Genomic DNA, 16765 nt, shown 5'->3' with positions numbered 1-16765 from the left:
ATTACAGAGAGAGAGAGAACGGGAAGGCACCTACCGTAGGACCCTGGCTGTGAGCAGCTTCCCTTCAGGGAGGTGTTTGTTATAAAGGGCTTTCTTGGACGGGCTGTGCTGGGAGACATGGGAGTACCGAGCCAAACCCACAACGGAGGGGCCAAGGCTGAAAGGAGAGAGGCAAGAGTCCTGTGGTCACAAATGCAACAACAGAATTCCAACCAGGCCTCGGGACTTCACTCTCACAGGGACTCAAGTTGTGACAAGGATTTGTGACAGACATAAGTTCCTGGCATTCAGCAGGATGAAGTGGGCTTTGTAAACTTGAAATCATCATCAAGCATAATGAAGATATGATTGAGGGTATTTTTTACTCCACACTGTGGTATCATAATATATAAATCACAAACTGCTAGGAGAAACTGCAGAAACAGCATGGCAGGGAAGGCTGCAGTATCAGGTGCTTGTGAACATGAGGTGATTTCACAGAACGAACACTTACAAATCATGATCAAACACTAAAACAGAATATCCACATTTATGTATTTTTTAATTTAAATTTAATTTTTTTAGACACAGGGTATCACTGCCTCCCAGGCTGGAGGTCAGAGGCACAATCATAGCTTAATGTAACCTCGAACTTATGGGCTCAAGCAATCCTCCCGCCTCAGCCTTCCAAATAGCTGGGACTACAGGCTCATGCTACCACACCTGGTTAATTTTTAATTTTTTTCTGGAGACATGGGGGTCTTGCTTTGTTGCCCAGGCTGGTCTTGAACTCCTGGCCTTCAAAGCAATTCTCTCATCTCGGCCTCTCAAAGCGCTAGGATTCCAGGCATGAGCCACCACGCCCGGCCCCAGACTTACTTAGAACAGAAATTAGAAATGCCATATTCTTTGTCCAAAACACCAAATAACTAATAACTCAACAGTTGTTTTAAAAGTATTAGAAAACTTGGAATTTTAAAAATGAGTGGGGACTCATAAACTCTCCTCCCTTCATATTCCCATCAAAGAAGTTGACCGAGGAACACAGTGGACCCCAGAGCAACACAGGCTCAGGGAAGGCACTTGGGTCCGGGTGCAGAGCCCCCCTCACTCACCGAAAGAACACACCGTGTGGCTGGATGGACCCTACATAGCCCCTCAGAAGCTGCCCTTCCTTAATGTCCTGGATGGAGTTAATCTCTGGATCTTCTACTTTGCTTTTCGTCTCCGGGTTTGTTCTAAAGGAATAAAAGGCTTACATGCACACCTTTAACCTCCACTGTCCCATGCCACCCCCAATACACCTGCAACCATCATACTTAGTAAATAAGAATATGACTCTGGACCTGTCAGCAGGATATAACCTTTAGAGCCCAACTCTACTCTCTCCTAACATCTTGCCAGGCCAGAAGCAGGTGCCTGGGGCCCAGCTATGTAGAAATGGGGAGAGGCGGACCAAGCCAGAGAGGTCAAACCTAAAGCCTTGGCCTCATTAACATTGATGTCTAACCATACAGCAAGCTGACCTCAAGCCAACTCCATACATGGCACGCTCACCCCTACAATGGAACCCTGGAGGCTAAAGCATCTCCCCTCACCAGGACTACCATCTGCAACCTTGGACACCCACATCTGGATATCTGACCCTTTCCATGGAAAACAAGAGCCTGAGCAGACAGGATTCTTGCAGCAATCTGAACAGCCTCAGCTTTTCTGGGTAAAAGAGGTTCAGGATAAAAAGTGATGAGCAGAGAAGGTGGGAAGCCCAAAATTCTGTGTCAGATACACGTAGCCTCCCCTTGATCCTGAGTGGGTCTTCCTCCTTTCTTTTTCCAACAACACAGAAACCCACCTGGATGATCGCAGCGACAAAGTCAATACGTTGTCTGCAGTGGACAGGATGTAACATCTGAATGAAGGCAAAAGAGAAGGAAACGCTCAATTTTCAGCATCTGTGAACAGCAAAGGGTCTCAGCTTCCTCTCCTCCAGGCTGACGAATAGGCAGGAGTGAGGAGACAGGAGACTCTGGTCATGTTTCTTCATTCTGTTGAAAACCTGCTGAGGGACTCTGGACAAGTCACGTCACCTCTGTGGGCTTCAGTTTACTAGTCTATTAAATAGAAATAACACTACCGGGCTGGGCACGGTGGCTCACGCCTGTAATCCCAGCACTTTGGGAGGCTGAGGTAGGCGGATCACAAGGTCAGGAGATTGAGACCATCCTGGCTAACACGGTGAAACCCCATCTCTACTAAAAATACAAAAAAAATAGCCGGGCGTGGTGGCGGGCGCCTGTAGTCCCAACTACTGGGGAGGTTGAGGCAGGAGAATGGCGTGAACCCAGGAGGCAGAGGTTGCAGTGAGCCGAGATCGTGCCACTGCACTCCAGCCTGGGCGACAGAGCAAGACTCCATCTCAAAATAAATAAATAAATAAATAAATAACACTACCTACTCTTCTTACCTAACAAGGGTGTTGGGGCCAGGTGTAGTGGCTCACATCTGTAATCTCAACACTTTGGGAGGCCGAGGCAGGAGAACTGCTAGAAGCCAGGAGCTCAAGACCAGTCTGGGCAGCAAAGCGAGACCCTGTCTCTATAAAAAAACTTTTTTAAAAAGCCAGGTGTGGTGGCACACACCTGTAGTCCCAGCCACTTGGGAGGCTGAGGACAGAGGATTGTTTGAGCCCAAGAATTTGAGGTTGCAGTGAGCTACGATCACACCACTGCCCTCTAGCCTGGGCAACTAAGTAAGACCCTGAGAAAGAAAGAAAGGGGAGGGAGAGAGGGAAGAAGAAAAGGAAGTCTCACAGAGGCATACAGTATGTCCTTAAAAGAAGAACCAGCTCTGTGTTAGATCCTGAGAACGTTTGATCTCAGCAGAGAGACACACTAACCCCAGGAGATCATGCCCAAGGCATCAGCTAGGTACTACTGCAGACACACAAGAGCAGTTCAGAGGAGGCGGGTCAGCGCTTCCAGGAGGGACAGCAGGGTTGCATCTCTAAACATTTCATCTAAAATGGCAATTAGTAGTCCAAAACCATAATATACAGATTCTTAGAGGTAGAAAGGATCTCAGCAAAAATCCAGTCCAAAATTTTCCCACGACAGATGTCTGCCTTTGGTAACGTGGCATCATAGCCATCAGAGCTGGACAGAACCTCAAGGGACCGTCTACCTTTAGGCAAGTAATTTATCGTAGGTTTGGCCACAATAAAACACATTTAAAACCACAACCTCATTATCTAAGCCTCAAGAGAAACCAGAGATGATCCTGGCTGTCTCTAGGACTCATTCTTTGTCTTCTCCCAGGCCCTGGGCATGTGTGTGCCGTGCAGTGGTTGTGAGTGGTTGAGAATTTAGGCAGGTAGGTGCTGGTGGCTGGGACAGCTGAGACAGGAGAGGGCAGTTACTATTTTCCAGTCTCTGCCTCCAAGGGCATCTACTGTACTGTCAGTTGACTACTGGATGCAGCTGAAATCTGTCTCCTCAAGTTTAGTTTATTCAGGCTATTAAAACAGTCTTAAAACTCCAATTGGCTGGGTGCGGAGGCTCACTTTGAGAGGCCAAGGCAGGCAGATCACTTAAGCCCAGGAGCTTGAGACCAGCCTGGCCAACATGGTGAAACCCTGTCTCTACTAAAAACAGAAAAATTAGCCAGGCATGGTGACACAACGCCTGTAATCCCAGGTACTTGGGTGGCTGAGGCACAAGAATCGCTTGAACCCAGGAGGCAGAGGTTGCAGTGAGCCAAGATTGCGCCACTGCACTCCAGCCTGGGTGACAGAGCAAGACTCTGTCTCAAAACAAAACAAAACAAGAGCCAAGATTGTGCCACTGCACTCCAGCCTGGGCAACAGAGCGAGACTCTATCTCAAAAAAAAAAAAAAAGAAAAAAACAAGAGACCAATTTTTGCTGAACCAATGGCTAAGACACAAATTTAAAATATCCAGTGCCAATAGTGGTGTGAGAAATGGACAGTCATATTTACTGTTAATGGGGACATAAATTAGCACAGTCATTTTGGAGGGTATGTAACCCATCAATTTCACTTCTAGGAATTTATTTACCAAACATACCTGCATTAGTATCCAAATATATGCAAAAGGGCCAGGCACCGTGGCTCATGCCTGTAATCCCACCACTTTGGGAGGCCAGGATGGGCAGATCACCTGAGGTCAGGAGTTCGAGACCAACCTGACCGACATGGCGAAACCTAGTCTCTACTAAAAGTACAAAAATTAGCCAGGCGTCATGGCGCATGCCTATAATCCTAGCTACTTGGGAGGCTGAGGCAGGAGAATTGCTTGAACTTGGGAGGAGACTGCAGTGAGCTGAGATCGCGCCACTGCACTCCAGCCTACGCACTGCACTCCAGCCAGACTGCCTCAGTTAAAAAAAGGCTGTGTCTCGCGCCACTGCACTCCAGACTCTGTCTCACGCCACTGCACTCCAGCCAGACTCTGTCTCAATTAAAAAAAAACAAAAAACCCAAATATATGTACAAAGATACTTCAACATTATTGTCTATCAAAAAAAGTATTGTCTATCAACAGAGAATTGGTTACACAAATTTCAATTAAAAAAACCCCAGAATACTAAACAAACGTTTTAAAATAAGGTAAAAGGACAAAATAGATTTTGATATATTAGCATAGAAAAGGAAAAAAATTCATGATAAACTATGAGAAAAAAACAGTATATCAAATGATATTCTATTATTTATATAAAGAAAAACTATATATATATGCATTAAAGTCTAGAAAGATAGAAATCAAAGTACATAATGGCAAAAAGTGGTAGAGAAACAGAGGGGTTACAGAAATTTTCATTTTCTATTTCATATACCTGTTTTTCTGATAAAAAGTCATGTATTACAACAACGTTTTTTTTTAAATATACCAATTCCACAGACAGGTGAAAAGAGGAAGAACACTTCGCTTACCTGACAACCTTCTGGGGGACGAAGTCTTCCAGGGGCGTCTCGGAGTAGGAGTCACTCATGTGAAATATACTGACTGTTCCTATCTTCCCAAAGGGGAAGGAGACGGTCAGCCCCTCGTTGGGAGTCACCTTCACCACTCGGCCCATGGCCACTTCCCCTTCCTCAAGCTTGTGAGGACCTGGTGGAAGAACCAACCTGATTCAGGGAAGAGGAAATGAGCTAAGGGAGGAGCGGGAATGCCAGCCACACACAGGCTGGGGAAGGTGGAGGCTGCCCAGACTTGGGGTATCTGGGCTGAGTGATCCAGAACCATCTAGACTGAGATCACCCTGCCATGTAGCCAAGGACCTCAGGGCCAAGTGGTGGACAACTCTTTCCCAGGGACTTGAGAAAAACACCTGTGTAGGTAAGGGTAACCTGTATAGGTAAAGGTAACTCAGAGAGCAGTGGAGTAACTGGGCCAGAGCAAAGCCCAAGAGAAAAACTGTTCCAAGAAGGTCCCACACCAGGCTTTCTGAGGATTCCAATACCGAAGGGGTCCTCCAACTCAAGCAATAGCTGAAAACCCATCCCACCCCTTCCTGCCGCTCCCCTTCCCCGACCAGGCACTGTTTCATCCCCACACCTGTGAGGGACAGACATAAGAGGGTCTTGGAGGAATCTGGGCCAACAACGGTGGCCCTCAGGGCCTGGCCAACCCGGAACTTCTTATCTGGATGCTTCAGAACCTGGAAGGATAAAAAAACTCCTGTGATGCTTGAAGAAAGGCTGTCATTTATCCAAAACCACAGCATTTAAGTCTCCAAAGCAAGTATCTCCCAAAGCAACCCTTAAATAAAGAACAAGCTTCCTCAAATCCACTGTAAACCCACACACCAGGCACTGGGCCAAGCTTAGGGAACTTGGGTCCCCTCTCCAGGGATCTCAAGCACACTGACCTTGAAGCTCAGAGAAGTGAGCAATAAGGGAATTCTCCCCCGGATGTCTGGGGCAATCTCCACCTCAAGCCATTTCTTCACCACATTGTACTGAGGGAAAAAAAGGAACCAGAGTAGGGCAAATACAAATACAAGGTTTCCCGCCATTAAAACTTTCCTAAAACCACAAGGTGGAAAGGGCCCCAGTACACTTTTCCAAGAGACAGGAATCCACCCTTCCATCCCACTGCCCTTGCCCAACCTCCACTTCTCACCAGCTTCCCTCAGACTCCAGCTCAGAACCTTTGCTAGCCTAGCAGAATGTGCATCTCTTCCAGGGTCTCAGCTGACCAGGAGGCAAAAGAGACTCCAGAGATGTCCTCAAACTGGAGAACCAATCCCACAGACCTCTGTAGCCTCCTCCAAGCTCAGCTGTGCCCAGCGATTGTTAACCATCTCCAGAGGCCAATTTTTAATTTCTAAACCAATTTGGATTTGGATCCTTCACTGTTTATGCAGTGTCTTGCCCTAAATATGCACTCCAATTTTCTCCTTTTTTTTTGAGACAGAGTCTCGCTCTGTCTCCTAGGCTGGAGTGTGTGGCGGCAATCTCGGCTCACTGCAATCTCCACCTCCTGGGTTCCAGTGATTCTCCTGCCTCAGCCTCCAGGGTAGCTGGGATTACAGGCGCGCACGCCCCAGGCCCGGCTAAATTTTTGTATTTTTAGTAGAGATGGGGTTTCACCATGTTGGCCAGGCTGGTCTCAAACTCCTGACCTGAAGTGATCTGCCCACCTCGGCCTCCCAAAGTGCTGGGATTACAGGCGTGAACCACCACACCTGGCCGTAAATACATACTCCAATTTTCTAGTCAACTTAACAAATCATTTATCGAGCAGCTACTATGCACATGGCATCATAATGATAAATAAAAGCCAGAGCCTGCCTTCAAGGAGATTACAGCCTACAAGCAGTAAGTCAAATCAGTGTGCAAATAACTACAACAGCAAGCAACATGTAGGAAGTACAACATGCTACAGGAACTAGTAACGAGGGAAGGTTATCTGTGCTGAACCTTGATGGGCAGTAGGCAATTGGAATAGAAGGTACTCCAGATGTAGAAACCAGCATGAATAAAGACAGGAAGGGAAAAAGACAGAAAAGCTTTTCAGAATGACTGCCACACAAGGTGCACGGAAGGTCAGATTATGAAGAGCCTTATCTGCCACGCTAAGGCATCTGGGGTGTATGAATGTCTATAGACAATAGGTAACTGAAGGGATCAAGCATCAGAGACGATCATGCTCAAAGATGCTCATCGAAGAGGAATCTGGCAACAATGGAGAGGTATTATTCTTCAAGGTCAAACCCAATCCAGCCGCCTCTCCTACATGTTTCAACCAGTACAGGCTGCTTTCCTTCCTTTTTGAACTCCTGTTCCAGTTGGGGTTGGAACACATAATCTGGCACCCAATTTCATGTTGTTTTACAGTGCACCTGAACTTCATGAAAAGCATGAATCTAAAATCCAAATTATATACATTTATATTCTAAATCTTGCCATGTATTTTACTTTCCATTTCTACAATTAACCTACCAACAATGAATTACGAGCTGCTTGCTAATTGTGTGTAAGCCATATTTTAGCTCCCTAATTAGACCAGAAGTTCTCTAGTGGCAGAGGCCACGTACTGTCTCCCACAAACCCAGCATGGTAGCACAGACTCAAATGCCTTTCTCTGCTAATGGCTTTTCTCTCCAACGTCATGACCTTTTTTCTGAAAGAAGAATGACATCTCATTGCCGAGTGGCAAAACTACTTACTTTCTTTAAGAAGCAAGTAACAGTCTGGCCGGCCTGGTACTGTTTAATCTTCTCCATGGGGCTAACAGAGTGAGTGTTAAGAGCAGTGTGGCCATCCTCCAGCTCACTGTTTGCAGAAAGGAAATGTAAACAGTAAACCCATCTCTGGATAAGACTTCCAGTTTGAAACCATCTCTCCCAAGTGGCCACGGATTGACTGTACGGGACTCCCCTACTCATACTCACCCTCCAAGGCCGTTTCTCTCCTCAAAGGGGAATGTCCACAATACTGGCCCGAGGCTAATCTTTTCCGTTTCATTCATCTACTTATGAACAAGCTGCTTTTAAAGCAGGTAGCCCACAATAGGCTTTATAAACTCAGGAAACAAAATTGTTTTACTTCTTTCATAATACTTTGGCTGTTGCTTTACTTTGCAAAACTGCATTCAAAAATTATCTCTCACTGAATTTGACAACTGTGTGAGTTCAGCAGGGGAGATATTAAGCCCATTTTATGCTACTGAACCAGGAGTTAAAATCAGGGCTTCTGACTCAAAATCCAGGGCTCTCTGCCCTATGCTACCCTTCCATTAGCATTTTCTTGATTTTTTTTTTTAATAAAATGAGCATTCATTTATTCAAGTAATTTTTTTTTCTTTTTTTTGAGACAGAGTCTTGCTTTGTCACCCAGGCTGGAGTGCAGTGGCACAATCTCGGGTCACTGCAACTTCCACCCCCCAGGTTCAAGTGATTCTCATGTCTCAGCCTCCCAAAAACTGAGATTACAGGCACCCGCCACCACACCCAGCTAATTTCTTTGTATTTTTAGTAGAGACAAGGTTTCACCATGTTGGCCAGGCTGGTCTCGAACTCCTGACCTCAAGTGATCCACTGGCCTTGGCCTCCCAGAGTGCTGAGATTATGGATGTCAGCCACGGCACTCAGCCTTTGATTTTCTTTTTTCTTCTCAGAAAAACCACAAAGGGATGTAGCCTGAAAGTTATCAGTCCACAATCACCTCAAAGGAATCACAAAACTGCCACCCCTACTTACCAATTCAAATAATTTCTAAGCCCAAATGAACCAAACTGGTACAAGTAATGTTAGTAAATTTGTAAAATACAATAGCAAGTGCTCCCAAATGTAGAAAATGGGAACTTTCCTATCTAGTAAAGTAAGAATTGCCCCAGCACTTTGGGAGGCCAAGGCGGGTGGATCACCTAAGGTCAGGAGTTTGAGAACAGCCTGGCCAACATGATGAAACCCCGTCTCTACTAAAAATACAAAAAATTAGCTGGGCGTGGTCGTGGGCGCTTGTAATCCCAGCTATTCGGGAGGCTGAGGCAGGAGAATCACTTCAACCCAGGAGGTAGAGGTTGCAGTGAGCTGAGATTGTGCCATTGCACTCTAGCCTGGGCAATAAGAGCGAAACTCCATTTAAAAAAAAAAAAGAGAGCAAAAGGACTTGAGTAGACATTTCTCCAAAGAAGATATACCAATGGCCAAGAAGCAAATGAAAAGATGCTCAACATCACCAATTATCACAAAAAGCAAATTAAAGGCACAATGAGATATCACCTTACCCCGGCAGGATGGCCACTATTAAAAAAAAAAAAAAAAGAAAATAACGAGTGTTGGCGAGGATGTAGAGAAATAGAAACCTTTGTGCACAGTTGATGAGAATGTAAAATGGTACAGCGATTATGGAAAACAGTATGGAAGTTTCTCAAAATATTAAAAATAGAATTACCATACGATCCAGTGATCCCACTTATAGGTATATACTCAAAAGAACTGAAATCAGGATCACAAAGAGGTATTTGCACACTCATGTTCAATGCAGCACTATTCACAATAGCCAAGAGGCACAAGCAACCTAAATGTCCGTTGACCAATGGGTGGATAAACAAAATGTGGCATATACCTATAATGGAATATTATTCAGCCTTGAAAAGACTGGATATGCCAGACACAGTGGCTCATGCCTATAATCTCAGCACTTTGGGAGGCCGAGGCAGGCAGATTGCCTGAGCTCAGAAGTTTGAGACCAGCCTGGGCAACAAGGCAAAACCCAGTCTTTACAAAAAAAATTCAAAAATTAGCTAGGCATGTTGGTGCGTGCCTGTAGCCCCAGCTACTCGGGGGACTGAGGGAGGGGGATCACTTGAGCCCAGAACGTCAAGGCTGTAGTCAGCCATGATCACGCCACTGCACTCCAGCCTGGGTGACAGAGCAAGACCCTGTCTCTAAAAAAAGAAAAAAGAAAAGAAAAGACAGGACATTCTGACACATGCTGCAAAATGGATAAACCTTGAAGACATCACACTAAGTGAAATAAGCCAGTCACAAAAGGACGCATACTGTATGTGTTCCATTTATATGAGTGAGGTACCTAGAACAGTCAAATTCACTGAGACGGAAGGGGAAATGGTGGTTGCCGGGGCGGAAGAGAGGGAGAAGCAGAGTTGCTGTTCCATAGGTATAGTTTCAGTCACGCAAGACAAAAAACTTCTAGAGATTTGCTGTATAACATGCATTTAGTTAACAATGCATGTTGTTTCAGGTAATGTATACCTGAAAATTGTTGAGGGTAAATGTATGTGTTATAGTAATTTTAAAAATTACAGTAATTTTTTACTGTAAAAAATTACTCATCTGTGATGAGGACACAGATACACATAAAAGGAAGACCATGTGAAGACATGGGGAGAAGATGGCCATCTGTAAGCCAGGGAGAGAGGCCTTAGAAGAAACAAAACCTGTCAACACCTTGATCTCAGACTTCTAGCCTCCAAAATTGTGAGAAAAGAAATTTCTGTTATTTCAACCAAACCAAACCAAACCAAACCCACCACATAAACGGATATGTGTTATCCTTTGTTCTTTTCCTGAAGTGATTTGAAACTTCCTCTCCAAAAAGAGCAACCCTCCAAAAAAGAAGGGTTGGCAGTACTGAATGGGGACCTATGAGAAAACTCACTGGCTAACAGGAATGCCAGAGACACCGTTTAAGACTCCTGAATGGCCTTGTCTCTTTCCTCTCAGCCCTCCAGAGGAGTAAGCAGGTAAGATGAATCTTAACCTTGAGTGCCCCTCAACACCTCTGAACTCAGCTCTAGAACAGACAGCATTCTCTTTGTGAACGAGATCCCCATACGAAATGAGGAATAAAAATACAGCTATAATTCCTCCGTTAAGTCAAAACTGTCAGTTAAATGTTTTTCATCCTGACTTCAAAATATTTATTTTAAAACATAAGCATGAGAAATATCACTATGTTTCTCAAGAGCCTTGAGATTAAAACAAGTCACAGTACAACAAAGGTCCATGGAGGAAGTGGAAGATGTCTGGCCATCTGTCTGGGAGTGTGTCTGGCCATCTGTCTATCTGTTATTATAACTCTACATCTCCCACCTCCTTAACAAATCCACTCAATTCCTGTCATGGCCCACTCTGCTACAGCCAAGTACCCCCACTCTGGCTCATACCATAGTCTTCCAACACCAGCAGTGTTAATGAGGGGTTCCTCAGTACTCCTAGGATCAAAAACCATTTAGGATCTCAGTGTTCCCACAGAGTTCACTGACTCATCCCCCATATATCTGTTAAATTAAGATATCTACCCTTAGTTTGAATAAACTACTTAACCTCAACCCTAATTAAGGGTTTAATTAAAACAAGACATCACATGTCAGAGTTGAAGATACTGCAGGCTGAAACCATTAATATGAAGAGGTTTCTTCATTTTTCCAACAAAGACTGGAGGATAAATACAATCAAAATCTACAAAACTAAGAAACCACAGTTAACAAATAGGAATGTAATTCATCCCCCAAATCTTATTATTCTGAAATTTTAGTTTAGGGCTTACTTTGAAGTTCCAAAAGTGTTATTAGCATCTGAAACTCAATGTGCCAGGAATATTTACTTTGTGTTTTTTTTTTTTCTTTTGAGACGGCTTTCGCTCTTGTTGCCCAGGCTGAAGCACAATGGCGAGATTTTGACTTACTCCAACCTCCGTCTCCCAAATTTAAGCAATTCTCCTGCCTCAGCCTTCCAAGTAGCTCGGATTACAAGCGCCCGCCACCACACCCGGCTAATTTTGTATTTTTAGTAGAGATGGGGTTTCGCCATGTTGGTCAGGCTAGTCTGGAACTCCTGACCTGAAGTGATTCATCTGCCTCAGCCTCCAAAAGTGCTGGGATTACAGGCGTGAGCCACTGTGCCTGGCTCTGGAAGTTACTTTGGAGACCGTTCTGTAAATCTCTAGGTGCATTAAGATTTACAACCTGGCTGGATCCCAGGACTGAGCCACAGAGCCTTTCTTAATTAAGGTCATACACACCTAGCTTCATTCACTAAGGGTCTATCAATCTGAGAGGCTGGGTTCTTTTAGAGAACTCCTCGTTCTCCTCCCCACAGAGTATCTCATGGAACACCCTTCTCTTCAGAATCTACCCCACCATGACCTGAAATTCCTATTCAGCCTCCAGCCCACCACACAGTCGTCTAGGTTGAAATAACAGGTATTCTTGGATACATGTTGCTTATTTAGGGAATTACTGAGTTATAGAAAATTGGGTTGAGAGCAAAAATGTTTCTTTTTGTGACATGCTGACAAACAGAACTGAAACCAGGCTTTAAATTGATACTTAAAACCTGTACACAGCTTTTGCATTAATTTTCATATGATCCCTCCAGCCCTAGGAGAACCAAATATCCCCACTAGAGAAACAAGAAAACTTGGACAGAGAAAGGCAAAAATCAATCCTAACACTGGTAAAATCAAGATTCGAATTCGGGATTCCTAATTCCAAAGCCCAGTGCTCTTTCCGTAAGACAGTGCTGCTAATGTCCCCCTCACCTTGGCCGAACACTCAGCTCCGGGATGGTTCGAACGAATCTGGGGTGACTTATTGGGAGATACCTGGAGAAACAAATAAGCTGAATCATTTCTCTTCATCTCTGTAACACAGTAATCTGTAGGTCAGGATTTCTCCCTACTCTCCACCAAACCAAGCTCACAAAAGCACCCTGTTCCACTGTCACACCACCACTGAAGACAGATGTGTCAGGCTGAAGGTTTCCATTCCCAACCTTTGCAGTTATTAGTAAGGAGCAGGCTCATCTGAATTTTTTTTTTTTCTGGGACAAGGTCTCACTCTGTCACCCAAGCTGGAATGCAGTGGCGCAATCATGGCTCACTGTAGCCTCAATCTCCTGGGCTCAAGCAATCCTCCCAGCTCAGCCTCCCAAGTAGCTGGGACTATAGGTGTATGCCACCATGCCCAGCTAATTTTTATTTTTATTTATTTATTTTTTTTTTTGTAGAGATGGGGTCTCACCATGTTGCCCAGGCAGGTCTTGAACTCCTGGGCTCAGGTTTTCCACCTCCCTCATCGTCCCAAAGTGCTGGGATTACAGGGTTCAGCCACTACACCCAGCCTCACCTGATTTTTTTTTTTTTTTTGAAACGGAGTCTCACTCTCTTGCCCAGGCTAGAGTGCAATGGCACAATCTCAGCTCACTGCAACCTCTGCCTCCTGAGTTCAAGTGATTCTCCTGCCTCAGCTTCCCGAGTAGCTGGGACTACAGGCACTGTGCCCGGCTAATTTTTGTTTTTTCAGTAGACGGGGTTTCACCATGTTGGCCAGGCTAGTCTTGAACTCCTGATCTCAGGTGATCCACCCACCTCAGCCTCCCAAAAGTGCTGGAATTACAGGCGTGAGCCACCGTGCCTGGCCTGATCTTTTAGGATTGTCATATCAGATCCTGAAAACAATTTTCCTTACAGTCTATATACTCCAATTCTTTCATTCTAAAAATAAGGAAACTGAGGTCTTTATTTAGAGGATAATTGACTTACTGAAGACCCCACAGTTAGCTACTGAAATTAATATGCAAATTATTGGCCAGACTTTGAATTCTTTTTTTGCTGTTCTTGTTATAGCAAGAATTTCTGCTACAGTAACATGTGGCACTAGATTTAAAGTAAATGAGGATAATTAAAGTGGGAGGTGGAGAATGACAACTGCAGATGTATACAGCGCAGTAACTGAGGCCAGCAACCCACTAGGCAAAGAACAGACTACACGTTCTCTCTTTCAGTCTTCACCATGGCCCTACAAAGTAGTCGCTACCATGACTCTCACGTTACAAATTAAGAAAATAAAATTTGGACTTAAGTAGCTACTGCCACATGGTCACAGTTAATCTAGAATTCAAACCCGGGTCTGACTCCAAACCCATGTTCTTAACAACCACACCATATATTCCATATTTTTAAAAAGAATAATGCACTGTAATCCCAGCACTTTGGGAGGTGGAGGTGAGCAAATCACAAGGTCAGGAGATTGAGACCATCCTGGCTAACACAGTGAAACCCCATCTCTATTAAAAACACAAAAAGTTAGCCGGGCGTGGTGGTGGGTGCCTGTAGTCCCAGCTACTTGGGAGGCTGAGGCAGGAGAAGGGTGTGAACCCAGGAGGCAGAGCTTGCAGTGAGGCGAGATCACACCACTGCACTTCAGCCTGGGCAACAGAGTGAGACTCCGTCTCAAAAAAAAGAAAAAAAAAAGAATCTTGCAAAATAATTCTTTGGTGAATGCCTTTTGTTAACTAAAAGAGAATCTGACTTACATGCAACTTTTTGGAGCCCACCTACTTTCCCAGTCCTCCCACAACAACAACAATCTCCCTCGAAGCCAGCCCACCCCCAGAGCCTCCATACTTGAATGTCTTCATGTCTCGCCCGCCAATCACTCGGGCAGTGACCGTCTTCCCAACCTTCAGCTTGGTAGTAGGAGAGGTGCCCTCTGGAACATCATCTAGAATGTGGGAGGCATGGATACAGCCAATAATGCCATCTTCCAGAGTCACAACCACATGGGTAGGCTTAATGGACTTGACAGTCCCTGTGACCATGTCCCCGATGGAGAGGGTGTGCTTCTTTATGGTCCCTACAGTCAGAGCTGGATCCACTTCTTCATCCTCATCAACTGTCTCAGAGTCCTTCTGGGTCGGCCTCATGGTCCTCTTGGCAGCCGGCCCCTCCACAGCCAAAAGAAGGCCAGTCACTCCTGGTTCTGTGGTCTTGAGGGTTAGGGAGACACCCTGTCCCACCTGCAATTTCTCTGAGTCAAAGCGGAAGGTGTCGTTGAGGTGAGAGGTCAGGGAGAAAGCTGCCAGGTGGCCCGTCTCTACCAAGGAGGCAATGGCAAAGGACTTCTCCAAGTGCTGCACAATCGCCTGGTGTTCGCTGCCTTTCCTCAGCTAGAAGAGAGAAAAGCCACCATCCCTGCTTTCCTTACACAGCATGGTCACTCACTCATGGCCCCACTGGGCAGGGTGTGGCTGAGGAAACCCTCTGGGGTCCCAAGGCTAGGGAACTCAAGGCTGGTCTGAGCTGGAACAGACTAGCCTTCACTCCCTGGACCTAGCTTTCCTCTCCTGTACACTAAACTCATGGGGCTGCCTCTGAATTACCTTGGCTTGGTTTTTGCTTTGCTTTGAATTTAAATTGCAAGACCCTATCCTAGATCTAGTAAATCTGAATTTTACAAGTTATTGAGATAATTCTGATGCACAGCCTTGCAACCTCTAACAGCTCTCTCAGCTTAGAGACACTGTGGTTCCTGAATCTGTCCTGCAGCTCCCCCACCCCCAATTAATCACTCTTCAACCCAAGCAATGAATAGAGTCATTACTGAGAGCTTATTGTGTGCAAGGCACCTAGCCTCTCTTTCCTCAAAATCCAAATTGTGCTCATGCTCTTATATGCCCAAGCTTCCCTTAGGTGATAAAATGGTACAGGGTCCTGCTAGAAAACTGAATGAGAGGTTAGTATTGCTTTCCATTCTCTCTCTGTCCTAAACTCTTAATACTGTAAGCAACTGGAAATTAAGGATTATATCTACACTGCACCATACTCTGTGCAACTAGGTGCCTAATAAGTGCTTTAGACAATAACCAAATATATTCATCACCCAGAGAAAAATAATAATTTTTCCCTCAAACCCATTCTTATGTCACACAAAAGTGTCCAGAAGACAAGGCAGGCGAGGGTGTGGACGCACAGCTTGGAGGTCTGAACTGCCCACAGACATGCTGTTTGGCTCATGGGATGTTTTTAAAAAAATAAGTTTCCAACATTTTCAGCTTTTATTTCAAATAAAAATCCAAATTCTGCCTTCTCTTAAAAATCAAAGATTTAGCAGCAGTAGCCCCAGATTCCCACCCGGCAACAATTGGGCGGGACTGAACAGTCTCAGCCCCACAGGGGCTGGGCATGCACTCTCCAGCTCGTCAGAGTCCCAGGCCAGCCACTCCCTACCCACACAGCCAGCTCCACTCCTGCACACTATTTATCTGTCTGGCCCTAAAGATGGAGTGCCCATGTAACTTATCACCGGAACCAGAACAGAAGTCAGCACTATGAACCACACCAGGACAAGAGGTCTAAACCGGGGGTGTCCTGGATCCATCCAGACATAGGGCTACCCTTGCTACAGGCATCTGAGTTGGAATCCCTGAACTGGAGTGGGGTTGAAGGGTACATCATGTGAAACCATGGAAATGGAAGTCAGGAGCAAGCTTACCTTTCTAGCTTTTCTATTCACCAAGTCCTGGTGAAGGGAAACGTGCACTTCCAACTTCAAAAGATCAACATTTAAGATAACAACCTTCTTTTTCTGCCCAGATTCCACCTCCTGCCCTGCAGTGCAGAACCACAGTGTGATTATCCTTCTGGAACAGAGTGAAGGGAGAGCAGCACCTCTCACATGTAGCTGCTACCCCTTAGATCCAAAAAAGCAAAGAGGACACATGTCCTGGGTCCATACGGGCCATAATTAGGGAAATCAAGGGTCTACCTCCCATAGTTCAAGTTCAGGTAGGCCTTAATTTATGTAACCTAATATATAAAAATCTAGATTTACCCAATTGTAACAATTAAAGGATTCATACCTAAGCCTTTGCATTCACACAAGATAGGCATGCCAAAAATCTCTACCGAATCAACTCACCTACCGTAAGTATTTAGAAATTCTATATCCAGGAGAGGGAGCAATGGACAAAGGGTCCTCCCACCAACCACAATGGGTAAGACAGAAGCACTCAC

At 45.2% G+C, this 16765-nt stretch overlaps 1 protein-coding gene across 5 annotated transcripts in view; it reads right to left on the bottom strand.

Annotated features, from left to right (window-relative positions):
* PDCD11 (programmed cell death 11) overlaps positions 1 to 16765 on the bottom strand; it is a 49669-nt gene that overhangs the window by 6392 nt on the left and 26512 nt on the right. For all 5 annotated transcript variants that reach the window (NM_001437421.1, NM_014976.2, NM_001411058.1 and 2 more), the window contains 10 exons: positions 16245 to 16360; positions 14378 to 14919; positions 12512 to 12574; positions 7669 to 7774; positions 5866 to 5955; positions 5553 to 5655; positions 4928 to 5105; positions 1832 to 1888; positions 1095 to 1217; positions 35 to 157 (listed from right to left, as the gene is read on the bottom strand). In NM_001437421.1, coding sequence (NP_001424350.1) covers positions 35 to 157; positions 1095 to 1217; positions 1832 to 1888; positions 4928 to 5105; positions 5553 to 5655; positions 5866 to 5955; positions 7669 to 7774; positions 12512 to 12574; positions 14378 to 14919; positions 16245 to 16360 — 1501 coding nt within the window. The remainder of the gene's footprint in view (positions 1 to 34; positions 158 to 1094; positions 1218 to 1831; positions 1889 to 4927; positions 5106 to 5552; positions 5656 to 5865; positions 5956 to 7668; positions 7775 to 12511; positions 12575 to 14377; positions 14920 to 16244; positions 16361 to 16765) is intronic.

The sequence above is a fragment of the Homo sapiens genome, chromosome 10 (genome assembly GCF_000001405.40).
Source record: "Homo sapiens chromosome 10, GRCh38.p14 Primary Assembly".
In the NCBI taxonomy this organism is placed as follows: domain Eukaryota; kingdom Metazoa; phylum Chordata; class Mammalia; order Primates; family Hominidae; genus Homo; species Homo sapiens.
This window is presented reverse-complemented; position numbering and strand designations above follow the sequence as displayed.